At 36.4% G+C, this 17,600-nt stretch overlaps 1 long non-coding RNA gene across 3 annotated transcripts in view; it reads left to right on the top strand.

Annotated features, from left to right (window-relative positions):
* The window catches only part of LOC105379102 (uncharacterized), a 328,753-nt gene that overhangs the window by 159,791 nt on the left and 151,362 nt on the right, over positions 1-17,600 (top strand). The window contains exon 1 of one of the 3 annotated variants that reach the window (XR_001742829.2): positions 15,817-15,941. The exons of the other annotated variants lie outside the window; for them this stretch is intronic. This is a non-coding gene — a long non-coding RNA (uncharacterized LOC105379102). Of the gene's footprint in view, positions 1-15,816; positions 15,942-17,600 lie in introns of those variants that run through there. 3 annotated transcript variants of the gene reach the window in all.

Here is a 17,600-nt window from a genome sequence, read left to right as displayed (position 1 = left end):
GGAAAGTGCATCTCTGAAATGAGTGCCTCCATGGGGAAGACACTATCTTTCACACTCATTACAAATGAACATCTTCTCTTTTATTCACACTTTAAATTTTCTGTGAGTGAAAGGCTGATTCCCTTTTCTTTCTTCCCTATTACCTGTATCTAATTTTCTGGCAGAAAAAAAATTTAAATGATTAAAATGCCCTAATATTATGCACAAACCACAAAAGAGAGAGAACAAAAATAAGATCATTTGCTTACAAGTGGCAGGCTAGCAAATGAGAACTCTTTGCTTTTATAAAGCTAATAAGTCTCAAGTGCTAATAATCCGAAGATTTGAACTTTTGGAAATTAAAAGTTTTTTTTTCTCATTTTATGTCGAAAACTCCTCAACAGTCTTATAAATTATTTTATTAGTAATTATAGTTTACATCTATCCTGGGTCACATTCACTTTGGGGTAAATTTCTGTACACAGATCCTGCTATCTAATTTGCCATATTCACCACCTATTATTTATAATGACGAATTAAAATAGAGGTATGTGGCAATGTTAAAATATCATTCACTAGTAACTTATGACATATATGCATATATATATATTATATATATATATATATATTTGCACAAAGATGAACTAGACCATTCAGATTACTCCCGTGAGTATTTGTAATCTGGCATCATTCAGTGACTGAGGTAGCTGATATTGTGTCCAGAAGCTGGTCTAACTGAAAAAATTACTTGATTTAGGAATAAGATTGAAAATAAGATTTAGGGTTGTGGGCAAGCATACATGATGAGGGAGCAGACCCATCAGTAACCAGAAGAAGCTGGCTTATAGAGGAAAGAGAACCAAGCACAGGAAGAAAAGATGCTATCTAGGCCCTGAAAGGGGGAATCTTCATAATTTTTGACATTTTTTCTTGTCTAGTCGTCATGGATTTTTGTCAGTAAACACTACATTTTTCTTAAAATGACTTGAACCTGGGTCAGTGCTAGCTTTTATAGAAACCTAACTAAATCATTGTCAGTTCATATTATTTACATAGGCTTGACCAAACAACATTTTGAGTAAATCCTGTAGGGGTGATTAAGATGAGTATTCTTTGTTCTCCACCTCATTTTATGACCGGGATTCCATTGAGGTCACCTTTAGAAACAGTTGATTTAAATTTGATATCAAAGTCATTGGTGATTGAGCAACTTCAGCTTCAGTGAAGAGATTGAAATTTTCAGCAGCTTTGATGAGGAGATTCAAGGTTGATGGGTATCTAACAGATTGTTTCATTAAAAAAATCTCAAGAATGATTGATGTAATTGGCAAATAATTGTTTGTGAGAAGCTGTCCCATCCAGGCGGCTCCAAACCTAGGAACAAGTAGCTTGAGTAAAACCGTAAAAGGAACCCAGTACAAATGCATCTTTTAGTTTATGTTTATCAGTAATTTACTAAGTACCTGCTGGGTACCAGGCACTGTGCTAGTTGTTAAGCATTCACTGGAGCAAAAATAAGCAAACCAACAAAAACACAGGCAAACAAAACTACCAACAAAAAATCTCAGGTTAATTTTGATTAGGTTTTTTTGTTGTTGTTTAGAGATTTGGATTTTGTATCATATCTATTGAAGTAGTATTAAATGGTAATTTTGAAAAGCATTTTGGTTCATAAAGGTTGTATGAAAATATAAAATGCTTTACATGGCAAAGTTAATATATAAAGTCACTAATTGTCAATAATTTGTTAGCAAGAATTAATTTAGTTTAGTAGATTTGAGCAAAGAGAAGATAGTGCTTTTGATAACATTTTCAGCCCACAAGACAGAGCACTGGAGAAATATTCACAACAGGGCCCTTACCAAGGGTCACAAATCAAGAACCATAGGCAACTCTTTTTTTTTTCCTTTAAAGAATAAAACAGACTTGAATTTGGAGTAGACGATAAAAAGTTTAAAGTTTTTACACCTCTATGGGTAATTCTCAAAACTGAAGAAACAGCTTGAAGGTACTGGGTATTGGGCAAGGGGAGGGATGAAATGGGGGAGAAGTAAAAGAGAAATAAATGCTAAAAATGAGTAACACTTAGCAATACAGTGTCAGTGAGAAGCCAGAGGTGTAATGCTGAAAAACTGGTTAGTATTTTGGCTTCATTTGATGGTACTAAGATTCCATAGCCTATTGTGTTGACCATGCTTCCCTAAATTGTGTGTCTTCATGGAAACATTTTTAAAGCCACATGTTGACCCTGGGAATCACCAGGGCAACACATCTTCCCACGATGAGAATTAAAACTCATGAAGAAATATTCCAGTGCCTTTACCTTATGGCAGACATAGGGTGAACCATTCGTTTCTGAATGTAAGAAATTTAAATTAAAAATAATATTATCATGCTAATAATTATCATCTAGTAAAATAATATCCAGAATTGAAACTAGCATTTATATTTTTTTAAAAAATAAGCTGCTTACGGAAGAAAGCAGACTTTCAAATTCAGAACAATGTATAATTTAATTCTCCAAACAGCATCTTAGGCACTAATTGACTTTGAAATGATTTTGCTTTTAGAAAGAGACCTTGTTGAACTCTTACCTCATCTGATAAAACATGCATTAACTTACTGAAAGTAAAGAGAATTATAGCATGATGGAAATAAAGAGCAATATAAATGCTGAATGACAACAATGCCATCTCTACATGACACCTGCTGAGTCTTTGTGGTTGGAAAAGTTCTGATTGCATACTAGGTTACTATTTCTTTTCTTCTATATTACATAAGTGAGATGAAAGTATTTCTGCAAGAAGCAGAAAATGAGTAAGTGCAGAAAAAATTAAATTTATATTGAATATTTAATATACTAGACATAATTGCTAAAAGTGTTATCAGCTGTAGAGTTGTAAGAAACACATACCAGTAGTAAGTCAAGTAAATATGATAGAAAGAAGACAAAAGTGTCAATATGGAAAGGAGTAATGACACAAAAGATAGATGTCTAAACAATCAGCCATATTTTTCGAATATGTGATTTTATGAGAGCAACCAACATGGCCCTGAATTCTGCTGATGGTCATAATAGAGTTCCTGTTGTGTCAGGATTGTGTCTAGCACCTGTGAAAGGAGAAAAATCACACATGCAAGCCTTTATATTGTAAATCAGAGAGGTGTAGAGGGCAAGAAGTAAAACCTGAAACTTTAATTCAGAAGAAGAATATTAGATGCATGAGAGGAGTAAGATCAGTTCTTTTCTCTTCTTTAAGGAAAATGACTCCAATTAAGTCAAACAGGCAAAAAGAATATATTGGCTCACCAACTGGGAACTTCAAAGGGGTAAATGGGCCTTAGATATGACTGAACTCAGCATTAAAACTATGTGATTAGGAAATTTTCTCTTCCTCCATCTCTCAATTTCACTTCCACCCATGTTGGCTTCATTCTCAGTGTTTTGTTCAGAGAAATAAAGAGAATCACCACCAAATGGATTAAATTGTCTTTCAACCTGGAAATCTTAGTGAAAGATTATACATCTTTTCCAAGAGTTTCAGCAAAGTTTCTAAAGATTCTGATTTGTCTGGCTTGTATCATGTGCCCATCAATAATCCAATCACAGTCTAAAGAATGAGGACTCTAATTGGTGGACTTGGATAATGTTTCAACCATTATCTAGGTGAAGGGTTCAGGAGTGAGCAGGTTATAGTCATACACAGACACAAAGTGCTTTTTATAAGAAAAGGGACCAAAAAAGGGGAGCAAAATGCATGATGGGTAGATAATAAACACAGCTATAACAGTTCATTACATCCTGTTTCTCAAAGGGTGGTGTAGTGGGCCATTCTTGCATTGCTATAAAGAAATTCCTGAGACTGAGTAGTTTATAAAGAAAACAGGCTTAATTGGTCCACAGTTCTGCAGGCTGTACAGGAAGCATAGCACTGGCATCTTCTTGGCTTCGGCGGAGGCACCAGAGAGCTTTTATTTATGGGAAAAGGTGAAGCAGGAGCAGGCACATCACATGGCCAGAGCAGGAGCAAGGGTGCTGCCACACACTTTAAATAAGGGTGGCAGGGAGATGCCACACACTTTAAATAACCAGATCTCATGTAAAGTGAACTCACTCACTATCGCAAAGACAGCACCAAGCTAAGAAGGATCTGCCCCCATGACCCAATCACCTCCCACTGGGTCGGACCGCAAATGTTGGAGATTACAATTCAACGTAAGATTTGGTGGTTACACAGATCCAAGACACAATAGGTGATGTGTAAAGGGGCAGTGTCAATATTACCTGGGAGCTCTGTGCAAATGCAGAATTGCTGTGCAGACTTTATACCTACTGAGTTAGAATGTGCATGCTAAAAAGATTCCCAGGTGATTTGTATGCATACTAAATTTTGAATAGCATTCATTGATACTTTCACAGAGAATTATATCCGTATCAAATCTTTACAACACTGCCTTTTGCCAGTTCATATTATTAATCTTTTTTCCTACGCATATCCCTAACTTGGTGGCACAAAGGTCCCAGAATGCCTGACACCTTTCTTCGCAGGCTCTCATATATCAAAATAGTAGAAATAATCCTCATGCAAAGTGACACTTGGTGACAAGTTAGTTTGTTCATAGGATTATAAATACGTATCAATTCCTTTTTCTAGATAAATTTTAATTCAACTCTGTTATTTTACTTATTACTCATTTCCATTTTACTCATTTTCTTTTGCTTTGTGTAAGATTATTTTATAGTGTATGCAGATATAAATTTAGAAGGATTATTTCCATTTTAGTCATTTTCTTTTGCTTTGTGTTTAATTATTTTATAGTGTATGCAGATATAAATTTAGAAGCATTATCAGATGTCCTTTTAGTCAACAGTCTTTACTCAGATCTTGTTTAATTCACTTGATTGGCAATTGTTTTCTCTGCTATTGTCTGGATAATCCCAAATACCCAGACAGGGATTGTCAAACACATTCATTGTTCTTTCTCTTCCTTGCTGTGCTACTGCACTTGCTCTGTGTTAATGTGACATTACTGTTAGAAAGTTTTCAATTTGTCTGTCACTAAAAGTTTCACTGCATTTTTCTGTGGCAGTTTAATCACATGCCCTGGGATGCCTTGTCACTTACTTGCAATCACAGAGCTAAAGTGATTTTGGCATTTCTCACCTGTAAGTTTACCAAAATACACTGCAGCCATTTTTGCATTAAATATGATATTTATTTGTCCTTTAACTTTAAGTAAATAGTAAAGTGATCACTACTTTATTTCTATTTCTAAAGCTTAACTACTCCCATTAGCTACCAAAGTCCTTGCTTCCTGACTCCTGTTTCCTGGAAGATATTTTGCTAAAATGTGACATTTTTGGAAACCAAAAATAGCCTATTCGCCCAAATAGAATGATTTCTGGTGTTGTTATTAGGAAAAATAGAGAAGTAGACATTTAGCCTCAAAGAGTTTAACATGGAAATTTAACGTTTATTTACAATTACCTCCAATTTCCTAACAATCAGACCACTTCAAGAGAAACAACAACAACAGCAGAATCACATGGAAATCATCATACATTTTTGAAGTATGGTGAAATGGGATGCTTCTGAAAGGGTCAAAATTCAAAATGGCTATTTTACACATTTTAATACATCCTTTTACACAATGAAGAAATCAATACACCTACCATGTGTAGGTCTCCAGCCTGTCTCTCATTCCATGGGATAACGTTAATTTCTGCTCCTATGATATTAGTATAACTACCTTGTGGCACAATGTGAAGACAAGACAAACATGCACAAAGTCATGCAATGATTATCTCATCTCTGCTTGGAGGTTGTTTTATCCTTTATGGTGATGAGCAAATACAGGCAGAATGAATAAACGTTAGAACACATTTTCCTTGGTAAAATATAAAATAGCTTATCAGGTTTTAGAATACTAACCAGCCATAATTTTAATTTTATTTAAAATGTAATAAAATATTACATATAATGGAAATAAAATAAAATCTATTTTAATGAAAATACATAATAGAATATTATTCAGCCTTTAAAAAGAAGGAAATACTGCCATATATGAAAACAAAGATTTACCTGGAGACCTTCATGGTAAGCAAAATAAACAAATACAGAATGACAAATCCTGCATGATCTCATATGCAGAATCTGAAAAAGCTGAACACATAGAAATAGGGAGTAGAAAGGTGGTTACCAGAGGTTGGGCAGTGAAGAAAATGGGGAAATTTTGGTCAAAATGTACAAATTTCTAGTTAAAATATGAATAAGTTCTAAAGATTGAATGTACAGCATTGTGACTACAGTAATAATAATATACTGTATGATTGATATTTGCTAACAGAATAGTTCTTATTCTCACCTCACATACACACACAAACCATGTGAGGTCATAGATACATTAATTAGCTTTATTGTGGTAATAATTTCACTATATATAAATATATATTAAAGCATCACATTGTGCACCTTGAATATATGCAATTATTTGTACAATTTATGGTTCCTCAATAAAGCTGAAAAAAATATAAATAGTACTGTTTGTGTGGATAGATCCCATTCTAAATCATACTTTAGTCTGAGTTCAAGGGAAGCAGCAAGAAAGGGAATATCAAATGCTTCATATATGCTAGGCAAGTGAAATGAGAAGAAAATGGATTAGATAATAGTCATCTTAAAGTAAAGTAATTAAAGGGAATTCCTTTCAATATAAGCTATACTTAGCTATCCATAAAACTGGGCTGCATAAACAGGGATGGAAGGGCATGATGTGAACTTTTCAAGCCACTCATTGAGTCATCTCTCATGACTCATGGAAGTTCCCTAAAAATATATATTTTCCATGAATTGCTTAGGCTTTTAGAAATCATTGAGCTTTATGAAACTTTATTAAAAATTTCTGATCTTTCATAAGTAGTCCTAGGGCAATGAGTCTCTGTTAAGATAGATCTTGACCCTTTACCCTTGAGAACTCACTGGTCAATGTGGTAGCCACTAGCCATGAGGCTAATAAAAGCTCTTGAAATGTGAGTAGTTCAGATTAGAATATGCTGTAAATGCAAAATACATGCTGGATTTTGAAAGTTAATTTGAAAAAAAGTAAAATACATTTTGAATGAGTTTTATATTGCTTATGCATTGGTAACAGTTTGCATATATTGGATATTTATTATTAAAATTAATTTCAACTGTTTCATCTCACACTTTAAGTGCAGCTACTAGATAGGATAATAAAAAATTACCTATGTGGCTTCTATTTGTTGCTCACATTATATTTATTTTGCAGTGATGATCTAGATTTTTACTGTTTCTGAAAAAATTTTAACTTGTTTCAAAATTGCTTAATAATACTTAAGTTCTTAGTTAATTAATGAGATATGTTTATCTTCAATATTTCTAGTGAGAATTGAGATGGAAGGACATACACATATCTAATGTGATTTGAAATTAGGAGAATATATAATGCAATGTATTTGATGGTGCAGTGCTTTTAATTTACTATTTGAGCTGTCAAATAACTGAAATATGGAGAATAACAAAGGAGTTACTGTTTAAAAGGGAAAGAGGCAGAAAAATGTTTCCCCTGGGTACTCTTTGGAAATACGAATAACCTTTGCATTCACTTACCACATCTGTGGCTTAGCTAGAGATAATGTTTTATATGTATTAGAAGGAGATACAGTTAGGCTCTCAAAAGGAAGATTAAAAATAAGTCACTAGCATTCTCAATTACATTATAAAGGACAAATCTTTGTTAGTTGTTGAATGAAATAGCCAGTTTATAAAAACTGAGTAATAAGAAAAGACCTTGCATAAGGAAAAAACAAAACAAAACAACAAAACAGTTGGTTTCCTAGGAAGCAATTTGCATAGGTATTCCGCAAAGTTAAGAGTTAGTATTGAATCTTGCATTGTTAAGTAGTTTTGCTCAGGAATTTTATCGACATAATTATGATGTATTTTTCCATTAGAAAACCAATTTTCACTTAAGTGGTGAAATCAAGCTCCAGCTTGATTGTTATGATGAGAAGGATTATGCTGTCAAATCAGATGGATCCATGTAAAAGCAGTGTTTTTGTTTAGACAAATACTGAAAATTATTTGAGTGCAAAAGATCAGGACAACAATAAACTTCTAACTTCATCCAAAAAACTTTAAAGAAAAATTTTCTTTCTTAAATGAGTTTAAAATAGACTACAAAATGTTATGAAGCAGAATTTTTTCATTTTGAATTCAAAAATTTGATTTTGATTTATTTATTAATTACATGGAATACCATATTGATAGTGTTTTTCTTTACTTATATTGTTAATATTTTGTACACTTCCAATATTGCAAGGAAGACCAGACATTCTGATCATATCAGCCTGTTTCTAATAGCACTGCTTATATCACACGGGGAACCATCAATCCCTTCCCTCTCTGTACTGAATGGTGCTTCTGAAATAAATAGGTGAAATGTCATCCTTTCTTTTAGAATATGGCCTAGCTATAATGACTCAACTTTTTTGGGTTTGTTTTTTTTTTTCTGGTAAAACATGGCAGAAGTCACTTTATAGAATGCCTGTAATTTCATAGAATGCCTTTAATTTTATATGATGCTTTCATTGTTTGTAAAGTACATCATGAAACCAGTAGTGGTCAGTGGGATGAATTCATATCCGTGCACACTTTGCTCTTGGACCTTTATTTTAATTCTACCCCAAGATCGCTAAATTTAGTTTTGAGATTTTTTTTTTTCTGGTATTCCATCCTTGGATTTTTACAAGAAACTTATCTTGCCTTTTTGGCTGTGGCAATTCCAGGCTCCAAATCTGCCCCTGCAAATGAAGCAAATACTCACTACATGGCTGAATAGCTGGGCATCCTAACCTAGAGTTTTTTGAAAGGCTATTGTCATTAGTGAGATATGTTTTTCCATGGTTCCTGTGAATTATGGAATTCTGGGAGAACAGTAAAATTACTTAACACAACTGAATTCTGTGATGAAAAATAAAGTGAGTTGGTTATGTTGTTGGTAGGAATTGTGTGTTGGCAGCAATGTGGATGTTCTTTGAGGTGACTCCCATTTTACATAATCCGAAACTAAAAGTTGGGCAGTGTATGCATTATACAGATGAATTTGAAATTGGAGAGCCTTGAAGAACATCCTAAAATCTGGCATCTCCATTAAAAACAATGAGGTTTGAGGGTTGGGGACAGTGGCTCACGACCATAATCCCAGCACTTTGGGAGGCTGAGGTGGGTGAATCACTTGAGGCCAGGAGTTCCAAACCAGCCTGGCCAACACGGTGAAACCCCTTCTCCAATAAAAATACAAATTAGCTGGGCATGGTGGCTCGTGTTTGTAGTCCCAGCTGCTTGGGAGACTGAGGCATGCCTTGTTTGAACCAGGGAGGCAGAGGTTGCAGTGAGCTGAGATTGCACCACTGTACTCTAGCCCGGGCAACAGAGGGAGACTCTATCAAAAAAAAAAAAAAAAAAAGAGGCTTGACAATCCACAGAATTGGAAAAGCACATAGACAAAATGAGTGCGAGGAGCTGTTGTAGTTGGGGGAAGGGGGCAAATGCATGGGATGAAGGATATTAATATATCAATGCAAATAAAGTATGTAAAAGAGTAAGGCCAGGTGGATGATATCATGGAAGTATAGGTATTAGGAAGTATTAAAATATTGTTCTACTGAAAATATGTGTAGATCCTTCCAGCATTTTGAGTTGTTGTGGTTGTCTGACTGGCAGGGACATCACAAAACATGCACAACATGAGGTTAAATTGCTGGTGGAATGCAGTGTCAATTGCATTGAGACCAATTACACTGACAATTGGTGGGCACTTATCTTTCTGAAACTGTATGAGGAGGTAGGCACCACAGAGATACAATTTTTAAAAGAAACATACTTTAAGATTTGGGAACCACTGGATATTAGTTTTTATCTTGACTTGTAGCTGCACTGAGCCCACAGAAATGCAAAAGTAGGAGGGAATTTTTTTTTTTTTTCGTATGAGAAATACTATGTTTTTCACAGTGGAAGAGGAAGCTTTGATGAATGCCTGACAAGTTGATCTCTCTAGACTAGTGCAGATCATATGTCAGACACGGAGAGTTTATAGACCTACTTTGAAGCACATGGTCCCTAGGAAACAAATCCTAGTTATATATAGTTATTGATCATGATAGACCACATTCTCTTCCTTGTTATTGAAAATAAATTCTCCAAAGTAATACTTTTGTTCAGTGCTTTGGGTTAACTAAGGTTGCATAACTGACCACCCCAAAACTCTGTGGCTTTAAATGATAATTTATTATTATCTCTCAGTACTGTGGGTTGGCCAGGCTCAGCTGGGCAATTCTCACTTGAGGCCTCTCATGCTTTTTTTTATAGTTGGATGATGGCTAAAACAGGAATCATCTGGAGGTTCAACTAGGCTAAAAGCCAAAGATGACCTCTTCATTTCTATATTTGTCACCTCTGCAGAATTGGGTGCAACACCTGGAAGATGGTTGGGCATCTAGCTCTCTTTCTACAGTTTCTCCATATGTCTGCTTCAGACTTCCTAACAGTATGGCAATCCTAGGGAAGTCAAATTTCTTAGTGCTGACTGGCTTATCCTAGAATAAGTTTTGCAAAAGCGAAAGTCACAGAAGACATAGGCAGAAGCTGTGAAACGTCTTATAATTTAGCCCTACATGTCCTATAAAGTCACTTCTGCCATGTTTTATATGAAAAACAAGTCACGTTTTGGGTAGGCCATATTCAAGGAAAAAGCAATGAGATTTTACCTCTTGATTTCAGGAACATCATTCAGTATGGTGAATAAAGGGATCATTAGTTTTCTTTGTGACATAAGCAATGCTAGTAGCAGCAGGTTGATATGATCAAAGTGTTTGGGTTCCTGAGAGATTACTGGGTAACGAGTTCTCAGATTAGACAGAAGAAAATTAACAACAACAACAACAAACTTCTTAACATTATCTACATAAAACTTTCCATCCTGTTCCCACAAATGGTATAAGTAGAATATGAATAGTCTTGGGTATCATTGATCACATAGTAAGGGACATGCACAGGCAGTCATCAGCACAACCTTGACTCCTTGGGCCTACTTGACAGGAGCTTGGCCTGTGCAATGATGTAATATCCTCAAGACCATCATGACTTTAGTTTGCAGGCAGGAACTAACCTTCCTGCCACTTCTATTTTTCCTTAGTTCCATTGTCTTCCTTCCTTGCTTACTTTTCTTTATTTTTCCTTATATCCTTTCTTTCTACTCTTACTTAACTATTTTATTTTAATTCAGTGTCTGTTATGTACCAAGCCCTATGCTAGGAATGGGTAAAACAATAGTTCAAAGAATCAGACATGTTTCCTGTTTTCGTGAAGTTAACCTCTTAATGGTAAAACAAAAACAAAACAAAACAAACAAACAAAAACCAAAAAAAATTCCTTAAATACAACACTGAATTTTATTTATTTATTTATTTATTTATTTTTGAGAGAGAGTCTCACTATGTCACCCAGGCTGGAGTGCAGTGGCTTGATCTCCGCTGACTGCAAGCTCCACCTCCCGGATTCACTCCATTCTCCTGCCTCAGCCTCCGGAGTAGCTGGGACTACAGGCGCCCACCACCACGCCCTGCTAATTTTTTTTTCATTTTTGTATTTTTAGTAGAGACGGGTTTCATTGTGTTAGCCAGGATGGTCTCGATCTCCTGACCTCGTGATCCTCCTGTGTCAGCCTGCTGAAGTACTGGGATTACAGGCGTGAGCCACTGCGCCCAGCCACAACATTGAGTTTTTTAATAAAATTAGGGTTCGGGCTCAACATGGTGGGCTAGAAATAGCTTGTGTGTTCTGCTCTCACAGAGAGAAAACAAAGTGGTGAGTGAACACTAACTCTGCAAGTGGACCACCTAAGAAAGCACATTGAGACCCATCAAGGGAGTGAGGCAACATGAAGAAAAGAGAAGAGCAAAACCGGGCAGCCACTCACCCAGGACTTTTACGGAACCAGGAGAAGCTCTCTAACATGGAGAAAGAGTGTGAAAGTGAGAGCCCTCAGAAAATTCATACCTCTCACAGGAACCTGTGCAATCCTGGGAAGAGGAGAACACCTCGCCCCAGCCACCCCCGCCCCCCAACCCTGGACCTCTGGACTGATACAGAGAACCACCTGGAGTTGACGGGGAGGTAGCACTCAAGTCCATGGGGATCCCCACAGGCCTTCAATCCCTGAAAAGCCCAGTGACAACTGCATAGTCCCAATAGAAGCCTCAGTCGCAATGCCAGGGAGCAGCCAAATTGCTCTACTCCTCCTTGCCAGGCCACACTTGGTGCTAGCTTTCAGAATGGCAGGCCAGCCTCTGCCTGAATTATGTGGGCAGGCATGGCTAGGGACTGGGGAGGTTTATAAGGTATGTGGTTTTTATAGTTTCCTTGTTGAATGCTCAGAATCACTTGTTTTTCTCTTTTGCAGGGGTTTTAACTTTAATCTAACTCACTAAAGAAGCTAAGAAAAATGAGTTATAATTCCACAATCTGTAATTTCATAAGTTCATGGCAATAAAGAAAAAAGTAATCTCTATGGGCGGAAGTAATTGTTGAAGGATCATAGGAAGACACTGGGGTAAAAGTTAGAAGATTTTAGTTCTTGCCCAGTTCTGCCATTTAATAACATTATGACCTGGGGTCTTAGTTTATTCATCTGTAAAATGAGGTAATTATCACACCAGGTCTTTTCACTAAAACACTGTATAACTCTCCAGCAGTCCATATGGATCTGTTGTTTTACTGGAGGCTTCAAACCCAAGCTACATACTGTGTCTTCGCATTTTACTTACTCTAATATATATATTTATATATATATATATTTTTTTTTAAATGAGGAAGAATATATGTATAGTTTTTGGTAGCCACTGGGCTTTACATCAAGTAACTTGATAGTTTTATACCTAGAGGGTAAAATAAATCAAAGGGATGATCTACTTGGTAACTCTTGACATATTTTATGTTGTCATTTGGATGCATTTTCAGCTACCTATGCCAATACTAAGGTTGTACTCCACATCTGAGTGTATATTTGGGCTTTTAAAATGAAATTGAGTTTTCTGTGCCTTTTGGTATTTTGTACACTAAAAAATTATTGATATGGGGTGGTGGTAGTTAAATGTTGCTTGTAGTAACAGAAATTGTATTTCTGCTGGTGAAAGAGAAAAATGCTTAAAGGTTGTGTAAGGGTGTGCATAGGTATACATGTATATATATATATATGCACATTTGAACAAACTATAATTCCCACTAGCAGAAGTAACACAAACATTAATAACCCTCAGTAATATATTTCAGTAGAATTGATTTGTTTTATGAATATCCAAAAGCTCTGTGTTATACAACCAATCGGATCCTAAACCAAGTCTTCCATAAAGTTGGTACTGTTTTATTTGTTAGCCTAAAGTACCATAGACATCTACCAAAAGTAAGGAAGGGCAGCCTGTTATCATCTTTATTATGCCCCTCACAAAAAAATTGCTATATTTTCTTAGAATCTAGTTAGTTAGAGGGACTTTTGGAATCATCCATGGAAATAACTTACATTTTAGTCAAAGAAAAATATATTTTTCTCTATGTAGCAATACACATTTCTTTCTATACCAATGACTCAAGTGAGGAGCTGGCCAAGAAGTCAGAAATTAAAATGAGCCATGATATTTTTCCTCTATTTCTCTCTTTAAAGCTTGCTTTGTTTGTGGAGTACACAGATAAGTTTTCAAATCAAAACTGACTATATTATCAAGACAAGAATAGGAACTAGCCAAAGAACCACCTATGAAGAGGCCGGGCACAGTGGCTCATGCTTGTAATCCCAGCACTTTGGGAGGCTGAGGCAGGCAGATCACTTGAGATCAGGAGTTCAAGATCAGCCTGGCCAACAAGGCAAAACCCAGTCTCTACTAAAAATACGAAAAAATTAGCATTCCTGTAGTCCCAACCGCTCAGGAGTCTGAGGCAGGAGAATTGCTGGAACCCGGTAGGTGAAGGTTGCAGTGAGTGGAGATCATGCCACTGCACTCATGCCTGGGCGACAGAGTGAGACTTTGTCAAGAAAAGAGAGAGAGAGAGGAGAGAGAAAGAAAGAAAAAAGAGAGAGAAAAGAGAGACAAAAAAAGAAAGAGAAAGAGAGAGATGTATGAGGAGTTGCTACTGGTAGACACATATAACTACCTTTTCTTCCCATCCTAACTGATAACTTGTTATATTAGTATTCCATGGTGTTGCGCTTATAGAATAGTAGAGATCACATTGTCTAAAGTCTTTATTAGAAAGTCTTTGTCTTGGCTTATTTGGGGTGCTTGGACTGTTTCTCCTCTGGTCATCTGATTGATTCTATACTGTCTGATATTGTGATACAATTACCAACAGAAAACACATGGGGTTTTCAAACAAGTATGAGTGAGGTTCTTGGGTTTGTTAAGAACCCTGCAGAAGGATGGGAGTGACAAAAGGAGTAATGACTCAGCAACTGTACTCAGGGCCAAAGTCTTGAGGCTGGATTACAAACAACGGTTTATGCAATCTGCCTATGGCATATTCTCTGACTCTCTCTAAGACAAGCGATGGGTCTAGGCAGGTGGTTTTATATACCAGACTCTTCATGTTTCCTGGGTATATGAGTTTTGGAAAGTCATAGGACTGAGACATAAAGGCATTGGGAACTCTGTCAGGGGAAGTCTGTCTCAACAAGAGCTTAGTGTAAGCTGTAACATAAAGACTTGGTCTTTCTAGCTGTTTTTTTGTGGATGATTCTCACAAAGAGAGACAACCTCCTCAAAGTCACATAGTTAATAACTTGGACTCATTCCCAGGTCTGTCTTACTTTAGAACCTGGGCTTTGTACCCCATCAGTGGTTGCCATCTGTGCTTGGAGATATTCCCACAGCTCCAGAGAACTCCTGAGAGGTCTGGATAGGGTGGAAGTTAGAAACTAATCTAAACTTTTATCTGATTCACATATTTGATTTTTAGATAGGGTGGCTCTTAAAAAATGATACCATTATTTTCACTACTTTGAAAACCTCGCAATATTTTTGTCTAATATTGCCACTGCCGTATTTCAAAAAAATAGAAGTAGATATGTGGATATATATGTCAGTGCAATTGAATTATCTTCTTCCCCCGATCATATATGCTCCGCTTTAAAAATATATGCATATTTTTATGTATACATAAATGGAGAGAGAGAGAAAGAGAAAGATGCATTCCATGTTTTTCCCTACAACCTTAACCACCTGCTTTAATTGCCCAGAAGGTAATATTTGTAATACTTTGGTTTAGTATGAAGGTGACATTGTTAAATCTGGTGGCATTTTCTCTTCTTGTTATCATTTTATTAACAAGCAAGCTTTGGCATTGTAGCTTTCTTTCCCTTCAGATCCACTTTAATTCTAGCTATGAACACAGAACATGCAAAACTGTTTTGCCCTTATATCATATGAAATTTGGAGGGGGGGTGTTATGGTTTTGAAAATACCTGGTGATAAAACAGAAATCCCAAGATTCTTTGGGAACTGCATGTTTGGTAAAGAGTCAAAGTCTATCCTTAATGACTACCAACAGTGTCAATAAAAAGTGATGGACTTTTTTGTTTTGCTTTAAATATGAGGAAAAATTGGTTGGGAAGTAAAAGATTTCATGAATATCTACAGTATTAATTACTGTGTAGTAGAGCGTCCCAGAGCAGCTGAGGTAGTACTGCATTTTGCCCCTAGGTGGCAGAAGAGTACTCCGGGATTGGTGGAAGTCTGTGGTTTGCGACCAGGGAATCACGGATTTCAGTGAAAGGGTCTGAGACCACAGCCATAAGCTGTGAAAGCCAAGAGGACAGCTAAGGACTAAGGAATTGACACTAAGCCCGAATCTGGCAGAAGAGTCAAGCCCCAAATCGTGACATGCACACAGGTATGGAACTGAAGGGGGTCGGAATGCAGTTTTTTAGCCATCATGAGCAATTAAGGGAGCAGCACAGGTCTCTGAGTAGGTAGTTTAGAAAGCTTGAATGTTTCAGAGCAACTTTCTTCCTGATTTTAAGACACTGGATCAGAAAGAAGATCTGGATTCAAGATCTACCTTCGCCACTCATTATAGTGCAACATGAGGGAACAATGGGCTTCAGTTTTCAGATTTAGAACAAAGGCAGCTCAAAGGTTTTTCAAGCTCCTCTATTTTACAATTCTCCCAGTCCTGGCTACACCTGGATGTTAAATCCGCCTGTGTCTTTAACTGCATTCACCTGATTTTGTGGATTTTGTTCGTCAGCCTCCCTTTCAGGTTTGAGTTTTCATCTGGTTCCTTGTTTTCTGGCCCTCATCTTGCTACACGAGCCTCTGGATTATCCTTGGTCTTTGATCTGGGTGTGCTTTGGTTTGTTATCTCTTTTCCTTTGTTCCCTGTTGGAGACCTGTCTCAGGACTGGTTTAATCTTGTCCTTCTTCCACTCCCACAACGATCTTCCCAATCCAATCAAATTACCAGGGTTTAGGTATCTTAACTCTAAAGGAGGACAACGCAGAAAACAATTGCTTGTTTTTTAGTTTTAGGTACACTGAATGGCCATAGAATACAAATTATGGGAAAAAATGAAAAACAAGAACTCTGGAAAGTCTTTTTTGTTTAACATAAATAAATTATGCAAATAAGTTAAAGAAAGCATGAAGAAGCATTTGGCATGCATTGAAAACATCTGGGTTTAACTGAAAAGAGAAAACAAAACATTTCATAAAACAAATATTTGAATTTAAACAATGAATTTATTAATTTTCACATCCTAAGTTAGATTTTGTGATGGATTCTCTTTTTCCTAAGTATGGCAAAAAGTATTAAGAAATAAAAACATATATATAAACATAAAATGTGAATTTACGGGGAAGCCTTGATGATACAAACAAAATCGGTCATCTCCAGAATTCTCTATGTGAAACCTGTAACAGGTTCCTTGGAATCGTTCCCACGACATCCTCTGGCTCTTGCTATGGCTTAGCATCTTTTACTATGCTTTCAGCCTATACCCTGGTGTATCACATTCTTTTTTTGCCATTTTAACAACACTAAATTTCCATTGCAGAGTCATTTCTATCCATCAATTAGGCCTTCTGTTGACACATCTGCATTTTGTAGACGGGCCACTATGGCATCCTCAAGTGGAAATTTGTAGCCAGAAGCATCACACATCAACCTATGTGGCAGATTGCGGCGGACTTCTGCAATGATTACAGTAATGTTATTTTCGTATTGGATGACGATTACAAAAACTGTTCTCTTGACATAATGTGGTTTGGGGTGTTTAGCAGTTAAAGAAATACTGGCTTTAACTTCCGTGTTTCCTTACTGGTTTCCCAAAGCTCTACGAAGCTACATTGCCCTGTGGAAAGAGATTGAACTACGAAGTTAGGAAAATCTAGATTTGAATTTATGCTCTGCCCTTTATAATCTGAGCAAAGCTTGGCGAGCTCTTCATCACTTCTCAGCCTGTGTTTCCTCTTCTATTAAATGAAGACAATACCTTGTAGTAGGGTTTCTTAACCACTATTGACATTTTGGGCTGGATAATTCTTTATCATA

This window comes from Homo sapiens, chromosome 5 (assembly GCF_000001405.40).
Source record: "Homo sapiens chromosome 5, GRCh38.p14 Primary Assembly".
Classification (NCBI taxonomy): Eukaryota; Metazoa; Chordata; class Mammalia; order Primates; family Hominidae; genus Homo; species Homo sapiens.
This window is presented reverse-complemented; position numbering and strand designations above follow the sequence as displayed.